Source organism: Homo sapiens, chromosome 12 (genome assembly GCF_000001405.40).
Source record: "Homo sapiens chromosome 12, GRCh38.p14 Primary Assembly".
NCBI lineage: Eukaryota > Metazoa > Chordata > Mammalia > Primates > Hominidae > Homo > Homo sapiens.
The window spans coordinates 108,588,422-108,606,247 of NC_000012.12; the positions used below are offsets into that span (position 1 = coordinate 108,588,422).

The 17,826-nt window shown below is 54.7% G+C and overlaps 1 protein-coding gene across 2 annotated transcripts, besides 2 other annotated features; it reads right to left on the reverse strand.

Annotated features, from left to right (window-relative positions):
* Window positions 357-1,085: an enhancer, noted in NCBI's record as "H3K4me1 hESC enhancer chr12:108982554-108983282 (GRCh37/hg19 assembly coordinates)". NCBI's record gives its function as "activates a minimal SCP1, AML or CMV promoter by ChIP-STARR-seq in naive H9 embryonic stem cells {active_cell/tissue: H9 hESC(naive)}" and the evidence as "EXISTENCE:reporter gene assay evidence [ECO:0000049][PMID:30033119]".
* TMEM119 (transmembrane protein 119) lies at window positions 1,430-9,663 on the reverse strand. 2 transcript variants are annotated; one of them, XM_011538271.3, is made up of 3 exons: window positions 9,549-9,663; window positions 5,916-6,124; window positions 1,430-3,976 (listed from the first exon to the last, which is right to left on the reverse strand). In XM_011538271.3, exon 3 carries the CDS (start codon window positions 3,960-3,962, stop codon window positions 3,111-3,113), a length of 852 nt encoding a protein of 283 aa, XP_011536573.1. In that variant the 5' UTR covers window positions 3,963-3,976; window positions 5,916-6,124; window positions 9,549-9,663; the 3' UTR covers window positions 1,430-3,110. The 2 variants fall into 2 exon arrangements, with proteins under 2 accessions (XP_011536573.1, NP_859075.2); NM_181724.3 differs by lacking the exon at window positions 5,916-6,124.
* Window positions 5,226-5,892: an enhancer, noted in NCBI's record as "H3K4me1 hESC enhancer chr12:108987423-108988089 (GRCh37/hg19 assembly coordinates)". NCBI's record gives its function as "activates a minimal SCP1, AML or CMV promoter by ChIP-STARR-seq in naive H9 embryonic stem cells {active_cell/tissue: H9 hESC(naive)}" and the evidence as "EXISTENCE:reporter gene assay evidence [ECO:0000049][PMID:30033119]".
* Window positions 9,664-17,826: the final 8,163 nt, after the last annotated feature.

Below are 17,826 nucleotides of genomic sequence, written 5' to 3' on the forward strand. Positions count from 1 at the left end.
CAGTTTCCACATCTGTGACATGAGAATAATAACAGTGCCCACCTCAGAGGGCTGCAAGTCTCAATGAGTTAATGATGCCAAGTACTGAGAGCAGGGCCTGGCACATAACAGGGGCTCATTAATTGGAAGCCATTATTATCATTGAGCCAAGGGACTGTGGAAGGGGGGTGGGGTGGAAGCTATCAGGGAAGGCTCCCAGGAGGAAGGGACATCTAGGCCAGAAGCTAAAGGATAAGGGGAAAGTTAGCAAGGCAGCAGGGGGTTGGGAGGGGTGGAAAGGTGTCATAGGCAGAAGGAACAGCAGCTGTAAAAGCTCAGAGGTGAGGAAGAGGTGAACTGCTCTGTTGCTCGGAACACCTCCTTCATTCATCCCCCACCAGTCTTGGGGGTCACAGGCTATGGCTGAGGTCATGGACTCCATGTCCTCTGGAGGGTCCCGCTGAGCATTAGTGGAAGACTGCAGACTGGAGCCGCTGATCAGGGAGCTCACCCCCGTCTGCACCCCCAGGGTCTCTAATGATTGCTTCTGTTTTACTAGATTTTTATGTATTCAAGGGAAGCTTCATGCACTTCCCAGTCACGTCACAACAACTAACACCCCGCAGGAGCTTGGGAACAAGAAGAAAGCACAGCCCGTGACACCCAGCGAAGTTGAATGATTTGGTCGATTTGGTCAGAGCCACGCAGCACACACAGGTATTACTCTTCCACCCTCCTGCTGTTCTTGGCAGGCCTGGCTGGGCTGAGAAAGGGAGGGCCCTTCCCCACTGAGTGAGACAGAGGCTATTGTGTGTTATGAAACCCAAAACTCTGGGGCCCCCTCCGGCTGGAGGTGGGGTCGGTGGAGGGGAGGGGCTGCAGGGGATGGCCCACTGCCCCCCAGCCCCAGGGACCCAGCACATGCTCCCAGCCCCAGCCACATCTGGATTCCAGCTGGCAGCTCCTGAGGCCCAGGGTGCGGGGGAGAAGTCGCTGCAGGAACTTGCCATCAAAGACCAAGAGGAGTTTTGTGGGTGGGGAGACAGAAGGCAGAGGCCGACTGCAGGGCCAGGGCTGCCTCCTACTCCCGATCCCGGCCAAGGGTGCAGTGAGGGGGGCATTGTCCATGAGACCCGTCCCAGTCCTCAACCACCTGCAGGGGAAACAGAGAGGTGAGTGACTCTCCCATGGCCACAGTGGCAGAGCTGGGCATGGAACCTGGGTCTGCGTGGCCACAAGTCCAGAGCTGGTGCTCCACCCCTGGGGACATGAGTTCCAGCCCATTCCTCGGGAGCACCGGTCTTTCCTTTGTTTCCCACATCAATCTGTCCCTTCACCCTCCAGGACTGGGCTGATGTGTCTCCCCAGAAAGTTGTCCCCATCCCCATGCAAGAGCCCCTCCCCAGCAGGCTCATTTCCCCCACCCCCCAGAAAACTGGTGAGACTTCAGGCCGGAATAAAGGTTTATTGTGCTGGTGCATTATATCTCAGCACCTGGAGAGCTGTGCAGAGGTTGGGGGAGCCCCAGATGGAGGGATGGGGGAGAGGACCTCCTGCCAGAGCCTCCCTAAAGCAGGACGGAGCCCAGGCTCCCTGTCGAGGACTGACGAATATTGTGGACACAGGCTGCCAGACAATGTGTGAGCAACAGGGGGTGGCCAGGGCCCCCCTGCTCCAGGCTGGGCGTCAGAAACCCTTCCCCAGCCCCTCGGACTTCCCCAGGGTGGAGGTCCCCTCAAACACAGCCCCTCAGCTTCTAGGCTGCTTTGGAGGCCAGACAGGAAGAGTTCCATTCATTCAACCTGATCCCAGCAGCAGTAGCGGGATGAGAAACTCACCCCCAGGCCGGGGGTGCTTGGAGAGCGCTTGAGAGGATTTAAATGCCCTATACCCCACATCCCTAATCCTGGACCAACTAGAAACAGGGGGCCACCTTCAGGAAAATTAAGAGCAGTATTTTCCAGAGTGGGTGCTGCAGGATTTTACCCTGTAGCTGTTTTAAAAAGTAGTTTGGGCCGGGCACGGTGGCTCACGCCTGTAATCCCAGCACTTTGGGAGGCAGAGGCAGGTGGATCACCTGAAGGTCAGGAGTTCCAGACCAGCCTGGCCAACATGGTGAAGCCCCATCTCTACTAAAAATACAAAATTTAGCTGGGCGCAGTGGTGGGCACCTGTAATCCCAGCTACTGAGGCGGGAGAATCGCTTGAACCTGGGAGGCGGATTGCACTGAGCCAAGATTGCACCAAGATTGCACCACTGCACTCCAGCCTGGGTGACAGACCGAGACTCCGTCTCAAAAAAAAAAATCTTGTTTCCGTAGAGTGCCTCGGGGAACCTAGTTTGGGAAATGCTCATTTAGGGACCTGTCGTAATGTGTGCAGGGGTCCTCTCACAGAAGTGTCCTAATTAACCACACACACTTCTGCTGCTGGAGCTCTGAGCACAGGCAGAATGACACTAAAATATTCAGCATTGAAAGGACACAAGAAGGGAACCATTTGCAGTTTCAAAATACTGCTTCACGCCAGGCTGCATGTTGCCTTACGAACGCTGGGCACCTTGGCGTCTCTCATCCAAACTCTTCCAAAACTCCCACTTATTCTTTGCTCCCTTGATGGAAAAGCAGTGATGTTTGCCCCACAAATGACCTGTGACATATGATTCCCAATTAATGTGGCTGATTTAGTGGACTGTTTTTTGTTTTTATAGAGATGGGTCTCACAATGTTGCCAGGGCTGGTTTGGAACTCCTGGTCTCAAGTGATGTCCGCACTTGGCCTCCCAAAATGCTGAGATTACAGGTGTGAGCCTCCACACCCAGCCTTGAGGGATGTTTTATCCTGGCTGTCACAGGGACACGTGCCCTCCCTCACTTTGTCAGGGGAGCTGTGCTGTAGGATGTAGCCCTTTGGGGCTGCTGAGGTGAAGGATGATGGCACTTGGTAAGATTCCTCCGGGGCACCGGGGACCAGCATTTCTGCCTGCTGTAGAATCAGCACATGCTGGGATTGGCACCACAGGGAGGCCAAGGAGGGAGTGTCAGGAAGCAGTCAGGGCTGAAGGCCTTTTCATACACGGGGAGGTGACCACTTGGGGGCCCGACAGTCAGGGCTGGCAGCCCGGGAGGACTGTTAGACACTGGGGTGGACACTGCTGCAAGCACAGGGGCTTTCGGGGGGACCCACTGGTCCCTGGGCTTCCTGGGCTAACAAGAGAGACCCTTCCAGCTCCCCTTGGCCCTCACCGGCCACCACAGCCCCCTCAAGGACCCCTGAGCACGGCTCCTCCTGCGCCTCTGGTGTCTCCACTGGGACCCCATGTCCCTGGACTTCCTGGTCCCCCTCCTGGCTGCCCTTCTCCTCTTCCTCTGCGCCCCTGCCCTCCACCATCCTGGCTCCGTCCCCACCGCCCAGTGCAGCCCTGGTGGGGGACTTGAGGTTCTGGGTGGCGGCCAAGATGTCGGCCTGGAGCTGCCGGGAGGAATCCAGGGCTTCCTCGGGCCTGCTGTCGGGGGCTCTGTCGGGGACCTCACTGAAGGCCCGGGGGCCCCCGGCCCGGTCACTCTGGTCCACGTACTTCTTCTTGGGGAAGGACGATGGGTAATAGGCCGAGGCCTTCTGCTTCTGCCGGGTGATGACCGCGGCACAGACGATGAACATCAGCAGAAAGGCCAGGGAGCCCACCACAGCAATCAGCATCACGTACTGGCGGAAGAAGTCCACTATCCCATCCAGGAAGTTGGTGGGGGGTGATGGGCCCCCCAGGGTTATGGGCTGGGGCCCCATCGATGTGGGGCTGAGGGCCGGGGTCCAGGGTGGCGGGAGGCTCGGGGAGGAGGCCGACGAGCCCTCGGCCTCCCCACTACCCGCCACATCCTCCAGGAACGTGGCCTTCAGGGGCACAGAGCGGGCGTCGGTAGCAGGCACAGACCCCAGGAGCAGCAACAGAAGGATGAGGAGGCTGGGGGCTGCCGCCGAAACCATGGTGCCCCCAGGACCTGTGAGACAGGAGGGAGGAGAGAAGTCATGGCGGAACTCTAGAGTGTCAGGATTCAGAAACAGGCTCACCAGCCCCCAGGAGGAACAGGGAGCATGAAACACCTTCTAGCAAGTCCCTTCCATTCCCAGGGCCTGAGCCCCGCTGGTTCAGCTGTGGAGTACAGATGTGCTCCCCCACTTCTCTGGAGGTCCCGGAGGTCAGGGGCTGAATCTTATTCATCTCGGCCTCCTCAGGGTTTGGCCCCATATCTGGTATTCAGTAAGTGCTCAATAAATGTACCCTGACTGACGTGGCTGAATTAATAATGATAATTTACACTTTCATGACTTTATGTGTCAGCCACTGTTTTAAGTTTCTTACATGGAACTTCTCAATGAATCCTGATCACTGCCCAGTGTGGGAAGTTCTATGATTAGGCCCATTTTGCAGATGAAAAAACAGAGGCTGAGAGGGACGTGGTGACTTGCCAGGGAAGAGCTGGGTCTGGATCCAAGCAGAGAGGGAGAAATGATAGTAGGGCTGAGTAAGTGAGAAACCGATTGAGTGACTGAGGTTGCTGAGTGACACCTCACCCCCTACCCACAACTCTGGGACCCTTCCCTTCAGTCCCCAGCCTCTCTGTGGTCCCGTTCCCCTCAGGGTCTGGCCCCCATGCACTGGGTGGCCAAAGTGGCTCCGCGCGGCCACAACCTGGTGGTTCAGGGGCTTTCTCAAACCTTCCGCCAGCCCAGCTCTACCTTATTCTGCAAAAGATTCCTAGCAGGGCAGGCGCAGTGGCTCACGCCTGTAATCCCAGCACTTTGGGAGGCCGAGGTGGGCAGATCACTTGAGGTCAGGAGCTCAAGACCAGCCTGGCCATCATGGTGAAACCCCATCTCTACTAAAAATACAAAAATCAGGCAGGCATGGTGTCGTGCCCCTGTAATCCCACCTACTTAGGAGGCTGAGGCAGGAAAATCGCTTGAACCTGGGAGGCGGAGGTTGCAGTGAGCCGAGATCGCGCCACTGCACACTCCAGCCTAGGTGACAGAGCGAGAACCTATCTCAAGAAGAAAAAAAAAAAAAGATTCGTAGGGTTTGAAGCCTCCAGGTCTCTGAGCTAGGCAGGGGTCATGGATGCCAGGGGCATGCATGGACAGCCCCCTGTGGCTGCCCTCACCCCCAGGCTCCAAGCAGGAGCCAGGATGGGCCCCAGGGTGGGGAAGTCCTGGTTCCCAAGACAAAGCTGAGCTGCCGATGCGCCCCGCCCCCACTAGATGGGAACCAGATGAGCCGGGGGCCTCCCTGCCCTGATGGAAGGCTGCTCCCGGGTGAACCCCAAGACCCCACCTGGCCCAGACAGCCCGGCTGATGAATTAATTCCTCATAGCCAGAGTTGACAGAGGAGCTGAGTTTCAAAACACTGTCTCTCCCAGCCAATGTGAGCTGGGGGCTCCCAGCTGCTCAAACCCAGGGACAATTCACTGCACTGTCCTCTGAGAACCCCTGCCCGGCCCAGCAGAGGGCTCAGGTCCCGGAAGCGGGCTTGGGTCTAGAAGCTTCAACACAGAAAAGCCTTAGGATCTCCTGTCCTGAGGCCTCAGGGAACTGAGGTGGAGAGACAGAGGCCCGGAGAAGGCAAAGGGCAGGCCCAGGGCCACACAGCAAGTTCCGGGCTGGAGGAGGAAGCCAGGCTCCCAAGGCCTCGGCTGCGGTCACATCTCCAGCACCTGGGCCTCAGGGCCTGCTTGGTGAAGCAGAGGACACTACCTTCCCCACAGGTACCGTGAGGATTCTGGAGGTGAGGTAGGAACCAGGTTGGGCCATTGAGGGGCTTGTTCCAGGTGACCTGAGGCTTCTCTGTGACACAGCTTTCATTGAAATGGATCGCATCAGCTGGGTGCGGTGGCTCATGCCTGTAATCCCAGCACTTTGGGAGGCCAAGGTGGGAGGATCACCTGAGCTCAGGAGTTCAAGACCAGCCTGGTCAACACGGCAAAATTCTGTCTCTACTAAAAACACCAAAAATTAGCCAGGCCTAGTGGCGCACACTTGTGGTCCCAGGTACCGAGGAGACCGAGGTGGGAGAATCGCCTGAGCCCGGGAAGTTGAGGCTGCAGTGAGCGGAGTTGGCACTGCACTCCAGCCTGGGTGACAGAGCAAGAACCTGTCAAAAAAAAAAAGAAAGAAAGAAAAGAAAAAAAAGAAATTAAATGTGAACAAACTGGCTTAGATGGAAAAAATAAAAAAATAATTCCAGGACATAAAAAGAGGCAAAATTGGCCAGGTGTGGTGGCTCACACTTGTAATCCCAGCACTTTGGGAGGCCGAGGCCGGAGGATTGATTGAGGGCAGGAGTTTGAGCAACATAGTAAGACCCCACCTCTACAAAAAAATAAAAAAGTAGCCAGGCCTGGTGGTGTATGCCTGTAGTCCCAGCTACTTGGGAGGATCGCTTGAGCCCAGGAGTTCAAGACCAGCCTGGGCAACATAAGGAAACCTCCATCTCTATGAAATATATTAAAATATTTCAATTTTTTAAAAAAGAGACAAAGCTTCTCAGGGGCTCATTTTAAATGAGCTGGTCACCTGTGCTTTCCTCGCGGGTACTCATCTAAGCCCTTTTCATGCCTTTAATCCTACAGGAGCCCTGAGGCAGCTTCATTATCCCCATTTTACAGATGAGGAAACAGAGGTTCAGAGACAGACAGTGACTTCCCCAAGGACACACAGATGATAAGTAGCTGAGCTGGGATCTGAACCTTCCTCTGTCTGATCCCAGGAGTTTACACGCACATTCACACAAACCACACTCACACTCATACACAGCCATACATACACATGCACACTCACCACACACACAACCATTCATACACGCCACACACTCACACACACATCCCCATACACACCCCACACATAATCATGCACACACGCCACACACACACACACCCATATACACACATGCACAGACTACACAATCATACACACATGCACACACACCACACACAACCATGCACACACATACCACACACACACTCACACACCCATATACACACATGCACATACTACACACACAATCATCTACACACATGCACACACACCCCACACACAAACATGCACACACGCCACACATACCCATATACACCCCACACACAACCACGTACACACATGCCCCACACACACCCCTATACACACATTCACATACTACACACAATCATACACACATGCACACACCACACATATATGCATACACTCCACATACACACAACCATACACATACACCACACACACTCACCTACACAACCACACACACATGCACACACCACACACTCTGAGCCAGGAATGGCTTGTTCCCGCTGGTGGACATCACCTGTCAGATGCTAAATGAGGAAAGGACCCCCTCACCTCTCTGGCACCTGTTAGCAAAGGTTCCTACAGACAACCTTGAGCTTTGGGGTCTGTGACCTGCCAGTCACCTCCCTGCCTCCCACCCCCAGTCAAGCCTAGGAGAGAGCTTTTGTGGCAACAACTACCACTTCTCACTGCAGAGGGCAGCTGGGACCATGGGTGGCTGGAGACCCACTCAAGTTCTGGCTGGGTCAAGAATCCCGGCTCCATCGCATCCAGCTCTGTGGTCTGGCTCCTGTGGGCCTCACTTTCCCCATCCGTAAGTTGGGACAGGGTGACCACAGGTAGCACCTCTCAGAGCTGTTAGGGCCAAATGAGACAACTTTCAGAGAGTGCCTGGTGCGAAGTAGCTGAGCCCCGAGGAAAGATAGGGTCTGGGGTAGCTGAATTCCTTCCCTAGCCGAACTCCAGGTTCAGCCAGCAATTTCCCACCCTGAGTCGACAAATGAGCACCATCGCCGGATGGGAACATGCGCTCACTGTCTGGTCCGGCCGCCACCCAGTGAAAGACCAACCTTTTCACCCCGTTCAGTGAAACCTCTTTAGCTCTGGCCGCCAAGGAATGCAGAACCAAACACACACATGCACACACATACACATACACACACATGCACACATACACCTACACACACATATACATACAACACACACACACACACACACACGAAGTCAGAGGCAGAGGGCAAGAAAGGAGAACACACAAACTGCCACTGGCTCTTTAAGGCTGAGACCCTGACTCTCAGAGTCCCCTGCACCCCACAACCCCTCCTGGCTTCCAGGGAAAGGTGGGGGCAACGTATGGAGGACCCAGCCCCACCTGCAGTCAGCAGAGCCTCAAAAAAGATGGTTGTGTGGCCCTGGACGGCCCCTGCCCTCTCTGGGCCTCAGTTTCCCATCTGTGGAATGAAGCACTGTTCTGGGCAGCTCTGAAGTCATTATTCTGCCTACCTCCCCCCGGACCCTAATTTTTTCAAGGACTCAGAATCTAACAGGCCATTAGGAGCTGGGGTCAGGCCCAACGCCTCTTGCTTCACCTTAGAGGTAACTCAGGTCCAGAGACTGGAAACAGCCTGCCCAGGTCACACAGAAAGTCAGGGGTGAGCCCAGCAGAGCCCTGGACAGAGAAGCCTGTCTTGGTATATCCCAGAGGAGGTCACTTCCCGGCTATGTGTCCTTGGGCTGGGCATGTCACCTCTCTGAGCCTCGGTTTCCATATCTGTACAATGGGGATAAGAGCCACCTCCCTGGACTGCTGTTAGGACAAGATGCGGCCATGCCTGGTGCACAGTGGGTGCCAATTAGCAGGTACCACGTGATTGCCCAGGACTCCCTGCCTGGGGACATGTCAGGCAGGGCTGGCCGTGTGTAAGTGTGGCAAATGCCCTAAGATGGTCCTGAGTCTGTGGAGGAGTGCAGATGCACCCCTGAGGCCTGGGGGCCCCAAGACTTGAAGCTAGGGGACCGGGGGCTGCCCCACCCCCACCCAGAGACTGGTGGCCTTTGGGGGAGGGGCGGCCCACGGAAACCTGGCTTCAATCAGTGGCCTTGTGGGGGAGGGGTGTTCTGGTTGGAGCACTGCACATGCCCCCGACCCCAGGGCCAGCCAAGGACAGGGACCTGGGCCCTGGAGGTCTGGATGGGGAGGGGGGTCCTGGGGGCACAATCCCCCTCCACACACACACACACACACAGAGCAGCATGGACACACAATATAAAGACACACAACACAGGCACACCGACTCACACAGCACTGAGACACCCAACAGCACTCTCATGGCCCATGCACACAATACACAGAGAACACACACGGACACACAACACATATACATACACAACCCCCTGACACACAGCCGATCCCTGCACACAGGACAATACCGTCCACATCACCCTCACACAGATCCTGGAAGCAACAGCCTGGCATCCACTTGCAGAAAAGTGGAAGCAACACACCCCCTACACCAAGGCCCCAGCCGCACACACACAACACTCCGGCCCACCCTGGCCCACCCCAGCACCGCACACGGGACTCAGATTCCACCACACTCATGCACACAACACCAAACACACACTCAAAGCCCACACACACTTAGAGAGGCCCCCCAGAGTGCTCCAACAGTCCCCAGTCCCTAAGCTCCAAGATAGCTCCAGGCTCTCAGGACAGAGGAGGGGACCCCAGGACTCACCAGTTCCTTGGCGTACAGGACTGGGTGCTCCCGCCGAATGGAGCGAGAGTGGGGGGCACCTGGGCTGGAAGAGAGAGTCCGTGCTGGTGCCCGGGGCTGCTCTGGGCTGGCGCCTGCCCGCCCTCCCTCCTCCCGTCCCTCCTCCCGTCCCTCCTCCTTCCTCCCTCCCCGGCTGGGCCGCAGGGCCAGCTTGATTTCATTAAGAGGGTTTGGGGTGGGGACAGGGGGAGGGGAGGGGCTACTCTCGGGCCACACGCAATCCCACCCTTGCTCACACTCTCGCTCTGGGGAAGACCAGATGCGGCACTTCCTCCCTGACCTCGGGTCCCCAGGGCAGGCTGAGACAGACAGACAAGGCTGTCCTGCAGCGCTCCCCCAGACAGTGAGCTGGGGTTCTGCCCACGCTGCTGCCCAATACCCTCCAAAGGGGACAAGCTCAGGGAGGTTCAGAGGCCTCTGGAAGTGGGAAGGAAAATTCCCCGTCCTTGTGTGGCTCAGGCTTCCAGGCTCAGGGTGCAGCGTGGGAGCTGGGATTCGTTTTAGAGACAGGCCTGATGGTGGGTCCGAGCCTGAGACAGGGAGCCCAACTCTGCCCTTCCCTCTCCAGACCTCAGTTTCCCATTTGTAGGGATGGGTGGGAAGCTTTCTGGGCTACCTCTGACTCTGATGTTCTGGGATCTGTGGCCTCACAATGCCCCCAAATGATAGTAGCTTGAATAGGAGTTGGAGCCCCATTTCACAGAGGGGGAAAGTGAGGCAGGGTGAGTTCTAATGGTTCAAGCAGGGTCCTGAGGTGAGTCAGTGGCAGGCCTTGGAACCGGGACGTCTGGCTGACCTGAGGAGTCCTGTGGATTAGCAGCCCCTTGCATTCATTCATTCATTCATTCATTCATGCATTCATTCGGCAAGTGCTCAATGAACACCTGCAGCAGGCCACGCACTGTGCTAAGCAAGTTCCAGAGGTGAATCAGGCACAGCCCAGCCTTGGGGAGCTCACAGACTACCAGGGAGAAGGACACCGAGGTAAATTACTTTTTTGCCAAACAGAAAGGGGTCAGGTCAAGGGCTCCGAGAACCCCAAGACAGAGAGATCAATCCCCCAAGGGAAAGAGGTAGGAAGCCATCCTGGAGGGCATGCCTGTGTATGAGCAGAAGCGGGCAAAGCAGGCCCTGGAAAGGCATTCCGCATGGAAGGACCAGCGTGGGTAAAGGTATGGTGGCTGGGAATGCCACCACGCACAAGCCACCGCAATTAGATTAGGCTGGAGCATGGACCAAAGAGAGGATCATGTAGTAAGGGTCAGAGATGTTGACAGGAGCCAGGCTAAAGTCTCGGAAGGTCGGAGGCAGTACGGAGCCAGTGAGGGTTTGGAACAGGGGAGTGCATGAAGGATGAGTGCGTGCTCTCTGGGTAGGAACCAAGCCTAGATTATCATTGTTCCCTGCAATGGTCCCAGCAGCCCTCGCTCACCCCCAGAAAACTGGGACAGTCATTTGCTTGGGAAATAAAATCAGAGACTTTCCCATCTTCTCTGGAAATCACCCCAAACCCTGCATCTTCGAGGGAACAGGGGACCATCCACCAATACTCGCACAGACACATTCATGCACACACATGTCCCAGGGGCAAGTGGCCACCCACAGACATGTTGTAGCAGCTGTGCCCGCTTTAAGGTGGCCAGGGGTGTTCCAGGCCTACCTGACCTGTCTTAGACCAGACATCGGGTGGTCAGGGGCAGCCAAACCTCCCCCAGGGCCCACCAGCAGGGGAAGAAGACCTTACCCAACATTCTGAGGGCTGCAGTCTGGGGACCTTGGGATGTCGAGGAGCAGGGACACAACCAACCCAAATAGAGCCTGCTCCCTGCACAGGTGGCCCCAGAGGCCCAGCCTGAGGGAAGCTCTCGGAGTCCCCTTCCCCTCGTTCTTTGCTTCTCCCTCCTGGGCAGAGCATCCCCCTGAAGGAGGGGTAGTAAGTGTTGGAGACATTGGCAGGAGCTGGGCTAAAGTATTGGAAGGTCACCTAGGAGGCAGTAGGGAGTCAATGAGGGTTTGGAGGGTTTGTTCTGGGATCTGTGGCCTCACAATGCCCCCAATGATAGTAGCTTGAATAGGCGTTGGAGCCCCATTTCACAGAGGGGGAAAGTGAGGCAGGTGAGTTCTAATGGTTCAAGCAGGGATCTGAGGTGAGTTAGTGGCAGGCCCTGGAACCAGGACATCTGGCTGACCTGAGGAGTCCCGTGGATTAGCAGCCCCTTACATTCATTCATTCATTCATTCATTCATTCATTCATCTAGCGAGAGGCAGACAGACCCACTTCAAATCCTGCCTCCACCATGTCCTGCCCCACATGGAGCCTCTGTTTCCTCCTCTGTAAAATGGAGATGGAGACTCCCTACTACTCGGAAGCTGGCAGGGGAAGGCAGAGGAGCTAGGGAGCATGCACGTGCTCAGCAATGTCAAAAGCACAGGCCAAGGCCAAGGGTATAGTTCCCTGTTGCTGCTGTAACAAATGACCACAGATTAGAGGCCAGAAGCCACTCACATTCATGCTCTTGCAGTTCTTTTGGTCAAGAGTCCCAAACGGGCCTCGTGAAGCTAAAAATCAAAGTGTCAACAGGGCTTGCGTTCATTCTGGAGTCTTGGGGGCGAATCTCTTTCTTTACCTTTTCAAGATTCTAGAAGCTGCTGGCATTCCTTGGCTCTTAGGCTTCTTCCTCCACCCTCCCGGCCAGTGGTAGCAGGCAGGGTCCTTTTCATACCACCATCTCTCTTCCGGTTCCCTTTCCCACGTTGAAGGCCCCTAGTGTTGACGTTGGCCCCACCCTGAGGATCCAGGATAATCTCCCTGAGAGCCTTAATTAACCATATCGGCAAATCCCTTTTGCCAAATAAGGTGTGACACACTCAGCTGGGTGCAGTGGCTCACACCTGTAACCCTAGCTACTCAGGAGGCTGAGTGGGAGGATCACTTGAGGCTAGGAGTTCAAGACCAGCCTGGGCAATCTAGTGAGACCCTGTCTCTAAAAATTTTTTTTAATTAGCTGGGTGTGGCACATCCCTATGGTCCCAGCTACTTGGGAGGCTGAAGTGGGAGTATTGCTTGAGACCAGCAGTTCAAGGCTACAGTGAGCTATGATCATGACACTGCACTCCAGCCTGGGTGACAGAGCACGACCTCAAATCTTAAAAAAAAAAAAAAGGTAACATATTTCCAAGTTCCAGGGATTAGGCTGTGGGCATCTTCGTGGGGAGGGGCATTATTCTGCCTGCCACCCCAAGTTGAATATTACTATTACTGTCTCCCTATGGGTCTGGAATCATCCACCCACAAATCACTGGGTTTTGCTCCCCCAGCACTGTGCCTCAAATACAGCAGGCCCTTTATGTGCTTGTGGGGAAATGAATGAATGCAGGAAGCCCACTTGGTGGACACAGAAACTGCAGTTCATGCTGGAGCAACCTGCCCAGAATCAGTTAGCATGTTGGGAGGTCAGAGCCCTTTTTTTCTGCACTGGCCCCCGTGTCAGCAAATCTCGAAATGGGACCACCCCCCTCCCAAGGGGCCCGTTCCCGAAAATAGGGCTCCTACCTCCCTCTGTCCTGTTGAAGGGCTTTCCCACCATGTCAACACACCACACATCACACGCTACACACACACACACACACACACACACACACACACACACACACACACACACACACACAGGCTGTCCTTAAACTGAGCATCCCTACCCACAATCTGAGGACAGAACAATGACAATGTCAGTCACTGATCAGAGGCAAAAAAGGAGCCCCAAGTCCCAGCCCCAGCTCAGGCAAAGACTGTGGGCAACGGAGCAAATCACTGCCTTTCCCTGGGCTGTGGCTAAATGTGGGGTTAGACTAGATGCTTGGCACAAGCCTGCCAGCCCTAAGACTCCAATTCTCTGGTACTCTAAATTTCATTCCTTCTATAAATATTTCTTTTTTTATGTCAATATATTTTAAACTTTTTTTTTTTTTGAGACAATGTCTCACTCTGCCACCCAGGCTGCAGTGCAGTGGCACAATCACAGGTCACTGTGGCCTCGACCTCCTGGGCTCAGGCGATCCTCCCACCTCAGCCTCCCAGGTAGCTGGGATTTACAGGCATGAGCCACTGCACCCAGCCAATGTATTTTTAAATTTCTAAAAAAAAATTTATGGACACATAATAGTTGTACATATGTATACAAATATTTCTTTTGACCTTAATTGCACACAGGCCAAGGTCAGGCCCTGGGAGGCAGTGATGGACAAACAGAGACACAGAGTTTACAGAGTAGCGGGGAAACTTGCAATGAGCAAGTAAACAAACAAATGAATATCTAACTGCAAAGTGGGCTAAGAGTTGGAAGCGGTAGTTCAGGGGCCAAAAGAGCACTTGTCTGGGAGGCTATTCTGGCCCCGAGCCTCATAGGGGCCTCCATGAAGAGGTGACGGTACGGCTGCTCTTAAAGATGAGGAGGAGGCATTTAGAAAAGCAAGGACGCAAGGGAGTGCCCAGTCACTATCAGTGCGTGCAAAGGCCCTGAGGTGGGTGGCAGTGCAGCACCTTCCAGGCAGCTCCTGAAGATTATTGTCATTGCAAGGGTCCAGGAGCCAGGTCTTCAGGCACCAGGAGCTCTGCCTGTTTTGTGAACTTCGCCACCCAGGACAGTGCCTGGAACACCATGGGTGCTCCATAAATGCTTGTTGACTGTGTGAATGACCGCTCTGACCTCCACGCTTGCATTTTCTTTCTTTTTTTTTTTTTTAATTATACTCTAAGTTCTAGGGTACATGTTCACAATGTGTAGGTTTGTTACATATGTATATTAACACCGCATGTTCCCACTCGTGGGAATTGAACAATGAGAACACTTGGACACAGGGTGAGGAACATCACACACGCTTGCATTTTCAGGTTTGCACCAGGTAGCGCTCTGAGAGTCCGCTCCAGCGGCTCCTCGTTCATCCTAAGAGACTCATGTTCCACGTTCTCTAGTTCGGGGGGCCTGTTGTGGGGCCCAGCCGGGATGCTCCTTGTGGACTGCACTACTATGGTTCCCAGGGGCGCAGGCAGGCCTGTGGCATGGAGCAGGCTGTGCCGCTCACTTGTAGCCTGTAATTTCAGAGGCATAGAGTGGCACCTGGGCCCTCTGCCCGGCCTAGGAAGGATTCAGAGACCTCACCCTGTGCCCGCCGTGCAATTAGCCGCCGGGGTCCCCCGCCCTGGTGGGCAGCCATGGCTAGGGAGGCAGGGAGGGTGAGGGGAAAACCCACCCCACCTCGATCTGTGCCAGGGTCCTCCCCATCTGCTCCTGGGGCAGCCACCCTGCCCACCACAGCCCCCAGCTCCAGCCCCTCATGGGTGCAGGGCCTCTTCTAATTACACAGTCCCAGTGGCCACTGGAGCCTGTCCTCTGGGCAAAAATAGGCCAAGCCTTTCATGTGGCAAGAGAGGCCTGGGCTGTGGCCCCATTACAGCACAGGCCTGGCCTTTGGAGGGACACCCGTGGAGGGGCCTCCCGCCTGGCACTCCAAGGAGGCAGAGTAGCCTTGTCCCTGAGGACGCTGGCAGAGGCCCGAGGTGGGGTGGGTTTTTCTCCCACCCTCCCTGCCTCCCTGGCCATGGCTGCCCAGAAGGGTGGAGCTCTAGGTGTGTTGTGAAACCTCCTTGGGCCTCAGTTTCCCCACCTGTAAACCAGACATTTTCACTTATTCCCCAACCGTTGACTGAGCACCTGTGTGTGCCAGGAACTGTGCTGGGCACAGAGAGACAGCAGTGAAGGAGGCAGATGCTGCCACACCTTCGCTTGGGCTGTTCCCCCTGCCTGAAGCACTGTCCTCCACAGCCCCTTTGCCTGACCACCCCTACACACCCTGTATCTATGTCATCACCACCTCCAGGAAGCCCTCCCTGCATGCCAGCCTCTGGAGAGGGAGACCAGCAGCCTCCTCTACACTCCTGTACCCTCTGGGCTCCTGGCTTTGAGCCCTGAGTACACTGGGCTGTAATGCCCTGTTTACATGCATCTCTAGATTGGGAGCTTCTCGGGGCCAGAATCCAGGCCTTTACTGTCACTGTATCTGTGTCACCCACGCCTGGAATATAGTAGATGCTCAGTAAATGCCCTCCCACGAGCCAGTGCAAACTGCTCATGCTATAGATGGGGAAACTGAGGCTCAAGGAGGAGACAGGATTCATTGGGGATACACTGATATTATTTTGCTTGTTTGTAGGTTAATTTAACCAATATTTACTAGGCAACTGCTCCACACCAGCTCCTGCATGGACAGTGCAGGGCAGCCAAGAGCAAGACAGATCAGACTTCCGCCTCAGAGAGCTCCGGGTAAGGGAGGCAGACAAGAAACAAATCAACCAGCAAAGAGGGAAGGTAACCCGATGCTGTGAAGTGCTGTCAGGGAAATGGAAAAGACGAGGAGACAGGGAGTAGCTGGGAAGCGGGTGGGGCGGGTGCCTGGGCAGCTATTTTAGCCATTGTGCTCAAGGATGGCCTCACGAGAGAGGTGTCTGAATGGACACCTGCAGAATCAGGAGAACCACGTATGCAAGAGCAGGAGGAAAAGCCAAGGGGACAAGTACAAGGGCCGTGAGGCAGGAAAGGGCTTGGCATGAAACCTCCTCTGGGGAAATAAGACTGAGCACTGCTGATCCGTTCTTACCAGGGGGCAGTTAGAGCTAGGAAATTGGGAGACTGACATTAGCTACTGGCTCTGCCCCTCCCACACTGTGATCTGAGCCTCACTTTCCCTTCCTATACCAGGAAGGGTCAGAGGAGGCATCAGCAAGCTCTGACGTTCTGTGATTCTTTGTAAATTTTACACCTGTTTCAACAACGATCCCTTCTCCCACCTCCAGCAAATAACTGGATGCTCACCCACTACTGGTGGGAGAGAAAAATGGCACAGCCACTTTGGAAAAACGGTTTGGCGGTTTTTATATAGTTAACCATCCACTTCTCATCTGACCCAGCAATCTCACTCCTAGGCATTATCCGAGAGAAATGAAAACACACATCCACACAAAGGCACAAACACAAAAGATAAAAGTGTCCATGGCAGCTTTATGCATAATAGCAAAAAACTGGAAGCAGCCCAAATGTCCATCAACAGGAGAATGGATGCACAGACGGTGCCATGCTTGCATGATGGAATACTACTCACCAGGGAACAGGAACAAGTGTGGACGAATGCCACAGACACGTGGAGCAAAAGAACTCAATCCAAAAGAACACACATGTCTCCATGAAGTTCTAGAACACAGGCAAAACTAATAGGCCAGGCAAGGTGGTTCCTGCCTGTAATCCCAGCACTATGGGAGGCAGAGGAGGGGGAATTGCTTGAGTTCAGGAGTTCAAGACCAGCCTAGGCAACATAGTGAGACCCCTGTCACTACAAAAAAATTTAAAAGTAGCCAAGTGTGGTACTAATCACCTGTAGTCCCAGCTACTCAGGAGGCTGATGCTGGAGGATTGCTTGAGCCCAGGGGTCAAGGCTGCAGTGAGTCATGGTCATGCCACTGCACTCCAGCCTGGGCAACAGAGCAAGAAAACAAAACAAAACTAAGCTGTGGGGTCAGAAGTCAAAAGTACTGCCCAGGAGGGGCACAAGGACCCTTCTGGGGGTGGACCTGTGTTAAGATCTATACCTGGTTAGTGGTGGTTAGGTGGGTGGTTAGGTTGGTGGTTAGTGGTGGTTAGGTGGTTAGATGGGTGGTTAGTGGTCATTAGGCGGGTGGTTAGGTGGGTGGTTAGTGGTCATTAGGTGAGTGGTTAGTGGTCATTAGGTGGGTGGTTAAGTGGTTAGATGGGTGGTTAGTGGTCATTAGGTGAGTGGTTAGTGGTCATTAGGCGGGTGGTTAGATGGGTGGTTAGTGGTCATTAGGTGAGTGGTTAGTGGTCATTAGGTGGGTGGTTAGGTGGTTAGATGGGTGGTTAGTGGTCATTAGGTGGGTGATTAGGTAGGTAGGTGGTTAGTGGTCATTAGGTGGATGGTTAGGTGGGTGGTTAGTAGTGGTTAGAGGTGGTTAGGTGGGCAGTTAGGTAGTTAGGTGGGTGGTTAGTTGTGGTTGGGTGGTTAGGTGACTAGGTGGGTGGCAGAGTGGTTAGGTGGGTGGTTAGGTGACCAGGTGGGTGGCAGGGTGGTTAGGTGGGTGGTTAGTGGTGGTTAGGTGGACGGTCAGGTAGTTAGGTGGGCAGTTAGTGGTGGTTAAGTGGTTAAGTGGGTGATTAGTGGTGGTTAGTGTTGGTT